General features: G+C 51.6%; 1 protein-coding gene across 9 annotated transcripts in view, besides 1 other annotated feature; it reads right to left on the bottom strand.

The window, feature by feature from the left end:
* The window catches only part of LHPP (phospholysine phosphohistidine inorganic pyrophosphate phosphatase), a 152,319-nt gene that overhangs the window by 90,887 nt on the left and 44,334 nt on the right, over positions 1-17,098 (bottom strand). For 4 of the 9 annotated variants that reach the window (XM_005270026.4, NM_022126.4, XM_024448122.1 and 1 more), the window contains exon 6: positions 5,984-6,075. The exons of 2 other annotated variants lie outside the window; for them this stretch is intronic. In XM_005270026.4, coding sequence (XP_005270083.1) covers positions 5,984-6,075 — 92 coding nt within the window. Of the gene's footprint in view, positions 1-5,983; positions 6,076-8,965; positions 9,086-11,928; positions 14,038-17,098 lie in introns of those variants that run through there. 3 more of the 9 variants (XM_017016512.2, XR_001747177.3, XM_011540058.4) reach the window with 3 other exon arrangements.
* Positions 600-1,141: an enhancer, noted in NCBI's record as "H3K4me1 hESC enhancer chr10:126210683-126211224 (GRCh37/hg19 assembly coordinates)". NCBI's record gives its function as "activates a minimal SCP1, AML or CMV promoter by ChIP-STARR-seq in naive H9 embryonic stem cells {active_cell/tissue: H9 hESC(naive)}" and the evidence as "EXISTENCE:reporter gene assay evidence [ECO:0000049][PMID:30033119]".

Here is a 17,098-nt window from a genome sequence, read left to right as displayed (position 1 = left end):
GTCGGGAATCACGGTCCAGGAAACTTTCCCTCTCCGAAGGGCAAACTGTTTGTCAAGAACGTTCGGGGCTTATAAAACATCTGCCAGCCTTGGGTAAACAATAAGAGAAGACCAGAGGCGAGCTCCGCATCGCGGCTTTATTTACACAGCAGCACCAGGACTAGCGCAGGGGCTTCCCAGGCAGTGGCGCCTTTGACTGGGTGGTGGCTGCAGGGTGTGGCGTGGAACAGCGAACAGAGTGATGGGGTGGTGAGAGGCCACACGGCCTGGTTTCTGGCATGTCCACAGGAACACAGGTTGGTGGGGATATAAGAGGCAGGAAGGGTCTGTGGCTCAGATGTGCCAGCGGCTCTTCCTTCTCCACTGAGGACAGAGAGGGCACCTTGGAACTGGGCAAAACGTCCCTTCCCTCTACTCATTTGTCAGAATGGGAGGGCGCAGGCTCCCAGCCCAGCCCCATCCTCCAAGGAAGATGAGGGCTGCCTTGACAGGCAGGCAAGCAGGGAGGAGCAGACAGTGCTTGGGGGGGGGCGTGGGCAGCAGTGCACTTACCCACTGGGCCTCGCATCCAAACATGGAGCCCTGGAGTGAGGCCAGGCCCTGTGACTGCTGCAAAATGTGGCCCCAAGGGCAGGACATTCTACCAGGGAAAAGTGCAGGAAAAGCACCCGCCCAGGGGACTGGGGGCGGCCAGGTTCCAGTCCAGCTTCTGTAAAACCTTGCCAGGTGGCCTTGGCCAAGGTCCTAGCTGTCCCATCTGAAAAAGCCTCTCACGGCAGGGCAGCAGCACCCTCTGGGGCTGCAGGACTCATGGCATCATGAGGATTTGCCACCCATGGCACAGGACCCCCCACGGAGGAGACACTGTTGTCCAGGGCCTGGGCAGCAGGAACGCTGTGGCTGGATGGGACCTCGAGGAGTCTGGGGGAGCAGCCATGTCCAATGCGCCAGGAGTCCTGGGAACAGGGCAGGCAGGGAACACCCAGAAGGCCTTTACCTGCCAGCCAGGTGAGGGCCGCCCCCTGGCTGGGCAGGATTTCCACAGGGAGCAGGTATGAAAAGAAAGCTTTGTGCTTCCCTGTCCAGGGCTCTTGGGCAGCCCTGTTGGGCCAAGCTCCAGACACCCCTGCCCGGGGATGATGCTTTCCTGGGGAGCAGGCCCTGCAAAACTTTCCCTCCAGAGCTAAGCCACCTGCAATCTCTCCCAACCCCGAGGCTTCACTCTCTTTGGGCCATTTTATAATGAAAACAAGAGAAATGGATACATCTAAGGTGACAAGGAGATCTCACTGCCAGTCAGCGGCCGAATCCCACTCCTCAGCCACCTCTCGGCCTCTCAGACTCCTGACAGCTGCCTCAGAAACAATTGTGTGTGTGTGTGTGTGTACGTGTAAGTGCGTGCACGTGTGCGTGCTCCGTACTAGAAGACCTTGGCTGAGGGCACGTCCCACAGCAGGACCAGTGGGAGGCCTCAGTCATCCCTCTGGCTTCTCCCCCTTCCTGGTGCCAGTGACTGGCAGGACTGACCGCTGCCCCCACCCGCCAGCTGCCCCAGCCTGGACGGCCTCCCCATGCTGCCCTGGCCTCAAACCAAGTGTGAGCGCAGTTACTCACTGCAGGGCTCTCTGCCACCTGGGCCCAGGACAAGGCCACCCCTCCTCCCCCTTCATTCTCCCATTTCCGCCAAGGCCACCAACAGAGGACAGAGCCTGGAAGGCCTTCTGATGCCCAGCTGACCCATCCAGTGGTCATTGGCCCCTGTTGAGGCCTCTTTGGGCCACTTGCAGGAGAGGAGAGGCTCAGCACAGGGTTGCGACGACATGCCTCAGCTGCAGAGGAGACACAGCTGCTGCCCCTGGGGGGCTCACCGCTGTGCAGAATGGGGCCGTGCTGAGGTGCCAGAGGGCTGGGGGTGGCCCTGGAAGGGCGAGGTGCTGCTCCATAGAGCCTGGCTGGGGGTATTTCCTGGAAGGAAGGGATGCCGGCCCAGCGGCAGGTGCCCGGCTGACTCCAGAGGCTGTGTGCTGGCCCCAGGCTGGCCACACATCCATAGGGAGCACCACGCAGGCAATTCCAGTCCCAAAACAGCCCTCCAGAGAGCGAGGCCCCATCAGCCACTCATCCAGGACCCCACGCCCCTCCAGCATTTCAGTGTATCTGTGTACCAAGAGTACCATCTGGAGGGAGAAGGGGACAGTGCAGGAGGAGGGCAGCTGCCACCTGGGGCCACCAACACTCCTGCAGAAGCCAGCGAACCTTTTCTAGTAGCCACGTTAACAAAAATTTAAATAAATGGGTGAAATTAACACGAAATATCAGCATTTCAACATGCAGCCGATATAAAAAAATACTCATGAGCTCTTTCACAATCCTTTCTCCCCACCCAGTCTCTGAAATCCAGTGTGTATTTTACACTTCCTGCACGTCTCACTGTGGGCGAGCTACAAGTCACCCCCTGCGGCTCGCCGCTACTGTGTCTGACAGTGCAGCTCCAGAGAGTCACCAATGGCTGGGAGACCTCCCATCCCTTTAACTGGGGCACACCTACACACGCAGAGCCCCACCTCCTTTGATGCCCATGTGGCCTCCCCCAGCGACTGGGTCCCTACCTTAGCCAAGCTAACACTCTTCTCCCTTTGTCCTGCATGTTAACAAAGGCAGATTTGCATCCTTACAAACAAATCAAAAGGTCTGACATTTTAAATCTCGTTAGGAACAAATGGGCTAAGTCCCATCCTCTTCAATGGAGGCAGGTGACTCCATGTCTGGAGCTTGGTGGATATGGATGGATATGCATGGATACGGATGGATATGGACAGTAGTGGCCGCACGTGCTCCCCACCCTGGCCATTTGCTGAGGGCTTGCTGTGTGCCCGGCACTACACTGATTCCTTTCCTACAGCATCTGAACACATGGATACACAGGATAACACACACACTGGGGCCTGTTGGAGGGTGAAGAGGGGAGGAGGGAGAGGATCAGGAAAAATAACTAATGGGTACTAGGTTTAATATCTGAGTGATGAAATAATCTGTACAATAAACCCCCATGATACATGTTCACCTATGTAATGAACCTGCACATGTACCCCTGAACTTAAAAGTTAAAAAAAAAAGAAAGAGGCCGGGCGCGGTGGCTCACACCTGTAATCCTAGCACTTTGGGAGGCCGAGGTGGGCAGATCACGGGGTCAGGAGATCGAGACCATCCTGGCTAACATGGTGAAACGCCGTCTCTACTAAAAATACCAAAAAATTAGCCGGGCGTGGTGGTGGGCGCCTGTAGTCCCAGCTACTTGGGAGGCTGAGGCAGGAGAATGGCGTGAACCCGGGAGGCGGAGCTTGCAGTGAGCCGAGACTGCGCCACTGCACTCCAGCCTGGGTGACAGAGCAAGACTCTATCTCAAAGAAAAAAAAAGAAAGAAACAAAGAAAAAAAATGTGGTACATATACACCATGGAATACTACTTAGCCATAAAAAGGAACGAAATAATGGCATTAACAGCAAACCTAGATGGAGTTGGAGACCTCAAGGAATGGAGGTAACTCAGGACTGGAAAACCAAACACTGTATGTTCTCACTTATAAGTGGGAGCTAAGTTATGAGGACGCAAAGGCATAAAAATAATACAATGGACTTTGGGGGCTTGCCGGGAAGGGTGGGAGGTAGGTGAGAAATAAAAGACTACACACTGGGTACAGTGTATACTGCTCGGGTGATGGGTGCACCAAAATCTCAGAAATCACCACTAAAGAACTTATGCATGTAACCAAACACCACCTGTTCTCCAAAAACTACTGAAATTTTAAAAATTACCAAAAAAATCATTATGAAGACACTTGTAGAAAGAGGCCATAAAACAGTGTTCAAGGAAAAAGGAGGCTGCAAAACAATATCATCCCATTTTTATAAAAAGAAAAAACCAAAATATTACCAGTCTGTTTATCTATGCAGAGAAGGCAGTGTGGAAGGATTCGGCAAACTGTTGATGGAGTTTCTCTCTCTGGGGCCGGGCGCGGTGGCTCACGCGTATAATCCCAGCACTTCCGGAGGAAGAGGCGGGTGGTTCGCCTGAGGTCAGGAGTTCGAGACCAGCCTGGCCAACATGGTGAAACCCCGTCTCCACTAAAAATACAAAAACTAGCCAGGCGTGGTGGTGCACACCTGTAGTCCCAGCTACTCGGGAGGCTGAGGCAGGAGAATCACTTGAGCCTGGGAGGCGGAGGTTGCAGTGAGCTGAGATCGATCGCACCTCTGTACTCCAGCCTGGGCGACAGAGGGAGACTCTGTCTCAAAAAAACAAAAACAAAAACAAAAAAACAGAGTTTCTCTCTCTCCGGGAGACAGTGTCATGGGGGATGCCCACCTCGTACTCTTCTTTAAATAGCATGCAGGTAACCGGAATCTGAAAAGCACCAACCCTTGCTGGCGTAGGGTGGGCACAGCCTCCCTCGTGCCCACCTGCATTCGTGGGCTGTGGGGGGCCTTCTTCAGAGGCCCATTCTCAGTTTATAGGGGCACCTGGCCTGGGCTGGCCAGAAAGACCCCAACTGAGGTGGCATTCAGGACAGACATGTTTCTCCTCCAAGGAACTGGAAGAAGCCCAGTACACAACACAGTACGGTTCTCCCTTTCCACCTCCTGCCGAGCCACACCGCTGTGCTCCCAAGCAGGGAGGTGTCACTTGTGCTCACGGGTCACAGGTGTGCCCTGAGACGCATGGGGCGCCGGGCTGGGCTCCTGACGGCTGACGCCAGGCAGCACCCGGCATCAACTATAGGGCCCCGAGGTCCGCTGTCAGCGGAGAGCCCCTCGCCTGGGAGCAGCAGCAAGACCAGGCTCTGCGACCTTTGCAGGAAAGGCAGGATTGGGGACTGGGGGACCCCTGGCTGGTCTCTTGGAAAAAAACGTTCCTGTGGCTTGTGAGTGGGGTCTCCCTCACTCCCTTAGGCCAGGCCTAACCAAGGGGAGCCACAAAACCCAACTTCAAGAAAGAAAGAAGGCCCATATGTCATACACGTCGGGGGAAGCCTGGGAGGGTCTGGGAGGTAGCTGGAAGGGACCAACTTCCTGACCCTGGACCCAGGTGCGCTGAGCCTTCCTCACTCACCTCGCACTCAGCCACAGCTCCCAACCCGCAGGAGAGACTTCAGAGCGACGGTCGGGCCCTCTGATCTGTCTTCTCTGGTCCTGCCTAAGCAGATCTCTCAGGACAAATGTAACTGCCCCCACCCCAAATCCAAGTACCTCCAGGTAACCATGTTTCAACCAAGTCTCCCCAGCATCTGCAAAGATGTACTTTCTCTGAATGGCCACAATCGAAACCATCTAGCATAAGGCAAGGCAACACTCTGATGTCCAAGATCCTCTCGATGACCAGGCGAGCTGGAGCTTGGGTACCACAGGGCCCTCCACATGCCTGGGAGCTCCCAACCCCTGACAGCTGCTCCAGACCAGGCAGACTTTTGCCAGCAAATAAAACACAACCTTCTTCTTGAGATGGAGGTTCTGCTCCAGGGCATGCCTGAGCAACCCTCTGTCGTCTCCAGGCTCTCTGTGTCTTACAGAGTGGAGAAAGTGAACAAAAGGAGAGGGAGGCTGTCCAAGGGGCTGAGTGCCCACAGCTGTAACTGCCGTAGTGCAGGGTCTGATCAAATTGCCAAAGGGACAGCAGCACAAATTCGGCCCAACTCCCTGGTGGGCCGCCGCCAGGATGGATAGTGCCTTTGCTTATTTCTCTCTGCACTGCACGCCATTCCAAAACCCAGACCCTGTATCAAAAGCCACTCTACTTTATCACTGTCTGCTATAAAAGACCACTCAGCCCTGTTCTTAGAGGTCCATTACATACAAGATAGTGAATGCCCACATACTGCTCTTTGATTTGGAAAGAATATCCCCTTTATTTTGAAGAACAAAACAGAATGAGAATGTGGTCATCCCCTGGAAGGAAGGTGAATAAATGACTCCAGCTGGCACTGACCTGAACTTCCCGGTGCGCACCTGCAGCGCTCTCATTCCACACCGCTGGGCACCGCCGACGTCGCCCACGATATCGTCCCCAATCATGACGGCCTGTCACGGCAGTGAAATACGCTCAGAAGTGATGTCAGGAGAGTTTTATTCCCGGGCTCCTTCATCTTTTTTTGACATAATAAATGGCTTGATTTGATGTTTACAACCACCATCATACAAATTAAACAAGATAATATTGTCATCGTATTGATTAAAAGTCAACCCACCTTGAATATATCTCACACTGCCCCCGTAGGCCACAGCTTTGAACAGTATATATCTGTGCAATTTGAAATCAATCAGCAGACGTCAAAGTGATTTGGCGCCCCAAGGACGTGCGGGGATGCTGAACGCTGTCTGGCCTCTGCTGGAACACAGGCTAAATTTCACCTGACCCTAAAGACTCTGTAACCTGGTTATTTGCCCTTGATTCCATGAAAGTGAAGCAAATCTCTGGCAAATCTTTGTAAGTTTTGCTTTATATAGGTTTTGCTTTCAATGGTGAAGGTATTGCCTTAAAAACAAAATAATATATACAAACCAAAATTCACACACACACAGAGGAAATGCTCACAGCCTGGGTATCATTTCAAAAACTAGCCTCTGGGATAAACTCTCTCACCTGAAAAAACCAGAAAACCAAATTATGAACCAACAGCTTTCAGGACACCGGACATCAAGCAACGAAGGACAATGACTTCTGAGACGCAGGAAACAAATGAGGTGGCTCCTGTGACTGCCCCCAGCCTACTGCCTTCGATGCTTCCAGACTGTGGACACAGGAGGGGTGCTGTGAACTCAAGTGTGTCCCCCACAAATTCACTAGCCCGCAGCGTGACTGTATTTGGAGACAGGGCCTGTAAGGAGGTAATTCTTTAAGGGCGAATGAGGTCAGAGGGGGCCCTGATCTGATGGGACTGCTGTCCTTACCAGAGGAAGAGGCACTGGAGTGCCCTCTCCATGCAAGCACAGAGGAGAGGCCATGGGAGGACACTGCAAGAAGGCGGCCATCTACAAGCTGGGAAGAGAGCCCTCACCAGAAACCGGACTTGCTGGCACCCTGATCTCAGGCTTCAAGCCTCCAGAACAGTGAGAAAAAAAGTTTCTGCTGTTGAATCCACACAGTCTGTGGTGTTTTGTATGACAGACTGGGCTGACTAATACCAAGGGAAACCCAGGTAGAGCCCAGTAGGATCCCTGAACTGGGGAGACAAAGCTAGGATTCTGGGGAGACCCAGGAGCAGAGTCCACAGGACAGGGAATCAGAGAGGAGAAGGCTGCATGGAGAAAGAGCTGTGGAGATCGTGGAGGGTCCCCTCAAGTACTCAGCAGACCACTGCCAGCACACGTGAGGGAGGAAACTCCCTGAGCCTGGGAAAGAATCACACCAAATAACTAGGGAAAACGGTGCCTGTGTCTCACGCAGGACTGCGTTATGTCCCCACCAGCCAGGCTGGGAAAGCTCACTCACGATGCACAGGGCATTGAGTGCGATCTCAGAAGCCGCTGGCTTCACTATGAGGAATGATTCACCCAGGGCAACCCTGCTCTGGTGCTGCCCCCAAATCTTAACAGCAAGATCTGGAAGGATCAAACTGTTTTCAAGTAATTTAACTGCATCCCACAACAAAGTTCGAAATTCTTTATGGGCACACAAAAATATCCAGCACCCAAAAAGAAGGTAAAATTGATCACGTCTGGCACCCAATAAAAAATGATCAGACGTGCAAAGAAGGAAAGTATCATGCAGAAGGAGGAGAAAGATGAGTTTATCCAAACTGAGCCAGAACTGACAGAGAGGTGAGAATGAGCAGACGAGAGCATTCAGTCAGCCCTTGTAATGGTATTTCATGTGTTCCAAAAGTAGAGAAATGGAAGATAAAAGAAAAAATCCAAACCAAGCTTCTAGAGATGAAAACTACAATGTCAGGGATCAAAATACACTGGGTGGGATTAATGCCAGAAGAGATACCGCAGAGGAAAAGATGAATGAACCTGGAGACATGGCAATAGAAACTGCCCAAAATGAAACAGAGGCAGAAAAATTATTTTCAAAAATGAACAGAGCATCAGTGAGCTATGGCACAACTTCAAGCGGCCTGATGTACACGCAATTAGAGTTCCTCAAAGTGAGATGAGCTGGGGCACAGTGGCTCACACCTATCATCCTAGCACTGTGGAAGGCTGAGGTGGGAGGATCACTTGAGCCCAGGAGTCCAAGGCCAGCCTAGGCAACACCGCAAGACCCTGTCTCTATAAAAATTTAAAAAATTAGCCAGATGTGGTGGCGCACGCCTGTAGTCCCAGCTACTTGGGAGACTGAGGTGGGAGGATCACTTGAGCCCGGGAGTTTGAGACTGCAGTGAGCTGTGTTTGTGCCACTGCACTCCAGCCTGAGCGACAGAGCAAGACCCTGTCTCTAAATTAGATTAAAAAAAAAAAAAGTGAGATGAGAGAAGACATAAATATATTTGAAGAAATAGTGACTGAAACTTTTCCAAACTTGATAAAAATAATAAATCCACAGATCCAAGATCCCAATGAACACCAAACACAAGAAACACAAAGAAAACTGTATTAAGGCACATCATAATCAAATTGCTCAAAGCCAGTGACAAGGAGAAAATCTTATAAAACAGTCAGACAAAAGAGACATGTTATGTACAGAGAAACGAAGATTAAGACGTTAGATTTCTTGTTGGAAACAATGCAAGTGAGAAGACTGTGGAGTGCCGTCTTTTAAGCAGTAAAAGAAAAAACTGCCCATCTAGAATTCTGTACCCAGCAAAAATATCTTTCCAAAATGAAGATGAAATAAAGATATTTCAGACATCCGAAGCGGAAATAATTCATCACCAAGAGATCTACCCTACAAGAAATGTAGAAGAAGTCCTTTGGGCGAAGGGAAAATGACAATAGCTGGAAATACACATCAACACCAGAAAATTACCTTGTGGGCACGTGCTGACCTTCTGCCTGCTCACCTCCCTCCTCTGCTGGCTAATTCCCCCCAGGCCTTCAGGACTCAGCTCTGGTGACCACCACCTTTCCTCTGCCCCCAGGCTGGGTTGTGTGGCTCTCCCAAAGCACTCTGGGATCACACCCTGGTGCCACCCGTGTCATAGTGCAGCATAATGGACTCTGCTCATCCCACCCTTCCAGAAGTAGGAGCTCCTTCAGGACAAGGAATCTGGGTTGACAACTGGCACTTGGTTGACGCTCAGCAAATGTGTCTTGAGCAGCTGAGTGCTCTGCATTACGGCACGGCTGGCTGTGTCTGGACACACTTATGAGGCGCAAACAAGACTTCCCATTGGTCACCTACATAGAGTGGAGGGAGTCATACAGTCCTCGCCAGTGTGGCTGAAACGTCAGTCATTTGTGGGTCTCCTTTTGCCACATTAACATGTGTTATTGCTTAAATGGACTCATGCTCTTTTTTTTTTTTTAATATAAATAAATATATGTAATTTAAAGAAAAAACAGCTGGGAGTGGTAGCACACACCTATAATCCCAGCACTTTGGGAGGCTGAGGCGGGTGGATCACTTGAGGTCAGGAGTTCGAGACCAGCCTGGCCAACATAGTGAAACCAGTCTTCACTAAAAATATACAAATTAGCCCGGCATGCACCTGTAATCCCAGATACTCGGGAGGCTGAGGCACACGAATTGCTTGAACCTGGGAGGTGGAGGTTGCAGTGAGCTGAGATTGTGCCACTGAACTCCAGCATGGGCGATGGAGTGAGACTCGGTCTCAAAAAAAAAAAAAAAAAAAAGTAATAATAATTTTAAAGAAAAAAAAAGTAATAATAATTTTAAAGAAAAAAAAACCACCACCAACCAGCTCCTCTCACTCCCCTACTCCAAAATCTGATTAAAAGCTGGGCGCAGTGACTCATGCCTGTAATTCCAGCACTGTGGGAGGCCGAGGGAGGCAGATCACTTGAGCCCAGGAGTTCCAGACCAGCCTGGGCAACATGGTGAAACCCGTCTCTATTAAAATACAAAAAATTAGCCAGGCATGGTGGCGGATGCCTGTAATCCCAGCTACTTGGGAGGCTGAGGCAGGAGAATGAGCCAAGATTGCAACCATTGCACTCCAGCCTGGGCGAGAAGAGCAAAACTCTGTCTTAAAACAAACAAACAAACAAACAAACAAACAAACTACATGTCTTCTCACTGGAATTCAGATGCTAAGAGGGGCTAACCGATAAATACACAAACCAAAATCAAGACAAAATGAAACGATGACTATGAAGCATGCCCAAGCCAGGGGAGTCTTACTGAGTGTGTGTCCCATAGATTTGGACTCTGCCTGCAAGGACGGGTCCAGGTGGAATTTGCTCTCCATCTGGGGGAAGGGGACCACAGAAAGAGGGGGCGGGCCCGATGTGGCCAGCAGATGCACAGACTCACTCCTGTCTCACGCTGAGCTAGAGCAGTGGGGTGGAGATCCCAGCTCTCCTGTTTGCTGGCTGTGTGACCTTGGGCCAGCCTCCACCTCCATCTGTAAAATGGGTATAACAGGTGTGGCGTTTAAAGGAAATCATCTTAGTGAAGCACCCAGCACAGGGCCAGGACATAATACATTACCTAAACTTTTTTTTTTTTTTTTTTTTTTTGAGACGGAGTCCCGCTCTGTCACCCAGGCTGGAGTGCAGTGGCGCGATCTCGGCTCACTGCAAGCTCCGCCTCCCAGGTTCACGCCATTCTCCTGCCTCAGCCTCCTGAGTAGCTGGGATTACAGGCGGCTGCCACCATGCCCCGCTGTTTGTTTTGTATTTTTAGTAGAGACGGGGTTTCACCGTGTTAACCAAGATGGTCTTGATCTCCTGACCAAGTCATCCACCTGCCTCAGCCTCCCAAAGTGCTGGAATTACAGGTGTGAGCCACCGCGCCCGGCCTAAACATGTTACAAAGGAAACAGAAACATGAGGAAATGTTTCGTTGAGGAAATTCCCTATCTCACCACATCAGAGAGGCCCCCGACCTGCAACAGGCACCCTTGCCCTGGTTACTTGATACCTTTGCCCTAGGCCTTCGCAGGCCAGTGCCAGGCCAGGCAGTGGGCACACAGTGTGAATCAGACACATGCAGTCCCAGCACTTACGGAGCTCACGACAAGTGCTAAAGACAGACATTAATCAGGTAATTCCACAGTCTCATCATCAGGGCCTGGGATAACACACAGGAGGCTGTGAGGCCTGACCTCCTGACCTACTGGGCTTGTGGGTGGTCAGGAAAGGCCTCCCAGAGGAGGTGAGGTTCTGAGCTTTGCTCTGACAAGCAAAAGGGGCCAACCAGGTTGTAGGACATGGAGGACAGGTGGGACACGCCCAGCAGGGGCTACCACACGTGTTCACTACCCATCTCCCCACCACTCACCAGGGCACGCCATGCTGTGAATTCCAGAAAGCACACACATATAAGCCTGAAGCAACTGTCCTGGGAACCGTCTCCCAAACAGGCCTTCAGATAACCAAGGAATCATCAGGAGCCATTGAGAAAGTACAAAGACAGAGCCAATGAGGCCCCCTGAGGCCAGGGAGGTAGTTTCAGCTGAAAACGGAGCTTTTCTGCCACTCGGCATGGACTCGACATGTATCATAGTCAAGCAGAGGCCAGAGGGGCCTCCCTCAGAGAAGCCACGGCGGATGGTGGTGCTGAGAGAGAGCTCGGAGGAGGTGGCTGAGGGCCACAATGTTGAGAATTCTGCCAGTTACTGGTAGCCGCAAGCCACCGCGAGACATGAGGTACTGAAATAAAACCACGTCTTCCTGGTGTGGTGCTCTCTACTTCATACTTTCCACGGATTTTCTCTGATCTTTCCTCCACCCACCCCTGTGCTTCCCAGAGTGTGTCATGCACACGGGTGACATACTATTTGACTCCAGGCAGAGCAAGGACATACATTTTAATGTAATCATGTGGTCTTTATTTTTAGATTAATCTATTATGGTAAGTGAGAGATTCTGGTTTTCCATTTATAGTAGTCATCAAAAGTTCCTTTTAAAATACATTTATTTAAGTAATAAAATGAATCAATTTTAAGAAACGTGAAGTAAATAGAGCTAGTGGCAAGTACCCAGATATGGTAAAAATACCCAGATATGGTAAAAATTCAAAGTGTTTTTTCCAGAATGACTGATGTTAGGGAAAATCCTGCCAAATCCAAATGAGGTTTTCGAGTCTATCAAACCAACACCTGGCCAGGCAAGACACAGCCAGTGGCACCGCGTGCTCCCGGGAATGGGACCAGCACCAGTGTCTGCTGCATGCACAAGGGGCACTCTGAGGGTTGGGAAAAGCCAGGGCTGGCCGGGCAAGCCCCCACGGCTGCTGGCATCTGGCAGCAGGGCCGGCCAGAGCCCCCGTATTCGGGTCCCCTCTGCCCTTCTCAAGGAATTGTCTTCAAACCGTGAGGTCAGCAGTGAACATTCACAGCACTCCAATTCAGGACCATGTCCACTGCTGCCAGAGACTCCAGGGCCATCCTGCTAGAAGGTTCCTTGGAAATGCAATGGGTCTTCCAAATATTACATGTCATCCTACACCTCCATGCTTCCGGGGAAAATGAAACTGTGTGCATGCTCCTCCCACATACAAAACCAGACAGCACACAGGTTTCCCTCCCAGAATACAGACTTGGTTCTTCCTGGGCTGGAACATTTGTGGATGTGGCCCACGGAGACAGGACCAGAGGAACGTGGTCTCTTGGAGGAAGAGTTCTCATGCAGGAACAGCGTGGAGGTTCTGCGGGATAAAGCGAGGCTGCCTCCAGGCAGAGCCCCGGGAAGCTGTCGGCGAGGGAGGCGGAGGCTGGGGGCCGGGACGCCAGGGCCGGCTGGGTGCACAGCTGCCTGGAGCAGTGATGCCTGTCCAGGCCAGCTTGTGGGCTCCGCATACCAAAGTGCGCTCAGGACCCCAGGGGATTCCCAGATTTACTATCGGTGAAGGGCAATAATCACGCAAGGAGGAGCAATTATTGCCAAATCATTTAGGATTTAAAAAATCACTGGCAAGAAGATAGAGGTCAGGAGGTGCGCTGTCAGGGGAAATAAAAATACTCCACCTGCCAGGGCTGGGCTTCGCTTCCTTTCAGACACGACATGGTGGGGTGTGAGGCGGAGAAAAAAATGAAAGGTCGGACCCCCCAGAACCCAGGATCCAGAGAGCCGGATGGAGGCGCCACAGTCCCAGAGGCAGGTGTCCTGGGTCGGGTGCTACAGCAGTCAATCCTCCCTCTTACGCATCTGCCTGCCTGCCCTGGTCTCCTCTTCAGTGTCCTAGGTGCTGGAGGGAAACATCATCTAACAGGCGGCGATGCTTTGGAGTGCAAAATTCCAGCACCAAAGAGCTTCCGTGGTTCACAAATATTTTCCTTATCCAGGGGCTCTGCCAGGAGGATTAGGGCGGGAAGCAGCAGGGCTGGGTGGTGAAGGTGGAGTGAGCTCAGTGTCTGTAACTGCAGCTCTGGGGTGCACATATCCCCCAGGGAGATGCCCTGAGATGACAGCTCACTCTAGGATGAGCCCTGAATCCAGGCCCCAAAGGAACCCAGGCTCCCACAGAGACCTGGAGACAGTGCAATGCTGAGTAATTGCCACTGTGGTCGGACACCTTCATAAGGAACAAGACTAACAGCAAAACTCAAAGACCACTTTAAAAAAAAAAAGTCAGAAATCATGGTGTTGGTAAGGATGTGGGGAAACAAGCATCTGTATACGCAGCAGGTCAGGAAGGTGAACGGACACACCTTTCTGAAACAGAAATAAGCAACATGCATCACAGCCTCCCAGCCACACCACTAGGATTTGGAGCAAATAATTAGAAATGTACAAGAGGATGTACATACAAGATGTGTTCATCAGGGTTACGCACAAGAGCGAAACTGGAAGCAGCCTCATCTCCATCAATAGGAAATGGTCAAGAATATGACGGGAGTCTGAACAGTGGAATAGTATGCAGCTGTGAAAACTGCTTCGTTAAAGTGCTTCAATAAGCACAAAGACAGCTGTCCCCTAAAAAAGAACAAGGTCATGTCGTTTGCAGCTACAGGGATGGAACTGGAGGCCATTATCCTAAGCAAACTAATGCAGGAACAGAAAACCAAATACTGTGTGTTTGCACTTATAAGTGGGGGCTAAATACTGAATACACATGGACACAGGGCAACAACAGATACCAGGGCCTACCTGAGGGTGGAGGGTGGGAGGAGGGTGAGGATTGAAAAACTACCCCAACAGGTACTAGGCTTATGACCTGGAGGACAAAATAATCTGCACACCAAACCCCCAAGACACACAATGTACCTGTATCACAAACCTGCACACGTATCCCTGAACCTAAAATATAAGTTAACAAAAATTGTCCCCAATAGGATATTAAGGGGGAAAACTCAGATTTCAAACAGCAGATACAAGATTATCCCAATTTTGTGTTAAAAATGTATATATAGACACAAAAAATTGGCAAGATCAAGCATGATTTGTGTTATTCTGGGCTGGTGAAATGAGTGGTTTCTTTTCTTCTTGTACTTTCCTGAATTTTTCTTAGCTCCTTTAATGAGCATGAGTTGCTTCATAATCAGATATTTTAAATACTTGTGTTTTGAGAAGAAAATAAAATCTACTTAAAAAAAAAAAAAAGCCTCCAAGGGAGAAAAAACTCTGAAGGAAAACTAAGCCATGAGGTCTCAGAGCACCTTATGACTAGGACACATCACAAAGACAAAGCCAGGGCCGGAAGCTCCTGCAACTCCCGTCAGTTTCAGACCCACAGCTGCAGGGCTAGGTGCCAGGTGCCAGGCATCGGTGGACAGAGTTTCCAATTCAAACCAGGGCTGCAGGAGGGCTGACCCCCGTCCTGGGCCCATTCTTTCAGTGCTGGAAGTGGGCACGGCCCAGCAGGCCAGCCTGCTCCCAGTCAGGAGTTGAGCAGGGTCATCCCCACACTGACAATCCAAAGAAAATGCCCACGGCTGGGAGGTGGGGCTCAGCCAACAGAGTTCGTGGGGAGGCCTCAGTGGAAACACCCATGGGGGAGGGAGGCCACAGCAGAAAGAACTGGGCCGGAGTGGCCCCCATGTGGACAGACATGTACTCCCCACTCACCAGCCTCCCCCTAGGGGTACAGACTGTCCCCAGACCCCTATAGTCAGGACTGATGCCCTGAGAATCAGGGAACGAAATGGTAGGGCACCTTTGAGTTTATATGGCCAGGCCTCTGGATAAGCCTGCAAACCTCACCCCCATTTTTCACAGGCAGTTCTGAGGGTGCGAGCCATGAAGATCACTGCAGCCCTCATGCCTACCCTCCCCACCTGAAATCCTGTCTACCCCCCCGACCTGAAATCCTGCCTACCCCCCCACCTGAAATCCTCCCTACCCCCCCACCTGAAATCCTGTCTACCCTCCACACCTGAAATCCTCCCTACCCCCCCCACCTGAAATACTCCCTATCCCCCCACCTGAAATCCTGTCTACCCTCCACACCTGAAATCCTCCCTACCCCCCCACCTGAAATCCTGTCTACCCTCCACACCTGAAATCCTGTCTACCCTCCCCACCTGAAATACTCCCTATCCCCCCACCTGAAATCCTGTCTACCCTCCACACCTGAAATCCTGTCTACCCTCCACACCTGAAATACTCCCTATCCCCCCACCTGAAATCCTGTCTACCCTCCACACCTGAAATCCTCCCTACCCTCCCCACCTGAAATACTCCCTATCCCCCCACCTGAAATCCTGTCTACCCTCCACACCTGAAATCCTCCCTATCCCCCCACCTGAAATCCTGTCTACCCTCCACACCTGAAATCCTCCCTACCCTCCCCACCTGAAATACTCCCTATCCCCCCACCTGAAATCCTGTCTACCCTCCACACCTGAAATCCTCCCTACCCCCCCACCTGAAATCCTGTCTACCCTCCACACCTGAAATCCTCCCTACCCCCCCACCTGAAATCCTGTCTACCCCCCCGACCTGAAATCCTGCCTACCCTCCACACCTGAAATCTTCCCTATCCCCCCACCTGAAATCCTGTCTATCCCCCTGACCTGAAATCCTGCCTACCCTCCCACCTGAAATCCTCTCTAACCCCCCGACCTGAAATCCTGTCTACCCCTGCACCTGAAATCCTCCCTACCCCCCCACCTGAAATCCTGTCTACCCCTACACCTGAAATCCTCCCTACCCCCCTCACCTGAAATCCTGTCTACCCCCCGACCTGAAATCCTCCCTACCCCCCTCACCTGAAATCCTGTCTACCCGCCCACCTGAAATCCTCCCTACCCCCCCACCTGAAATCCTGTCTACCCCCCAACCTGAAATCCTCCCTACCCCCCAACCTGAAATCCTGTCTACCTCTCCACCTGAAATCCTCCCTACCCCCTACCTGAAATCCTCCCTACCCCCCCACCTGAAATCCTCCCTACCCCCCCCAACCTGAAATCCTCCTTACCCACCCCACTTGAAATCTTCCCTACCCCCCAACCTGAAATCCTCCTTACCCACCCCACTTGAAATCTTCCCTACCCGCCAACCTGAAATCTTCCCTACCCCCCAACCTGAAATCCTCCCTACCCTCCCCACCTCCCTAAGAAATTCTGCTGCACCGCTGGTCCTCCCTGAGAGTTGGGCTATGGCAAAGAGCACTGGACGGGGCTGGAAGACGATGGTTTGGTGCCTGGCTTCACTCCTCATTGGCAAAGTAATCTTGGGTTCAGTACTAGAGTTCTCCGTAACCGTTCTCTTAATACCGCTTAATGCTGCGGTTCTCCCCAGGGCACATCTGGCAATGTCTACAGACAATTTTGGTTTCACAGCTTGGGAAGGGGGTGGTCCCATGTAGTGGGCGGACAGTGGGATGCTGTTTAGCACCCTACAATGCATAGGACATCCCCTCACCACAAAATGACCCAGTCCAAAAACACCAAGTGTCGAGGTTGAGAAACCGCGGGGTGGGGGGGGGGTTTGTTGTTTTTTTTGAGACAAGGTCTTACTCTCTTGTCCAGCCTAGAGTACAGTGGTACCATCTTGGCTCACTGCAACCCCTGCCTCCCAGATTCAAGCGAATCTC

The sequence above is a fragment of the Homo sapiens genome, chromosome 10, assembly GCF_000001405.40.
Source record: "Homo sapiens chromosome 10, GRCh38.p14 Primary Assembly".
Taxonomy (NCBI): Eukaryota; Metazoa; Chordata; class Mammalia; order Primates; family Hominidae; genus Homo; species Homo sapiens.
Note: the sequence above shows the minus strand (reverse complement) of the source record. Positions and strands in the feature narration are given on the sequence as shown.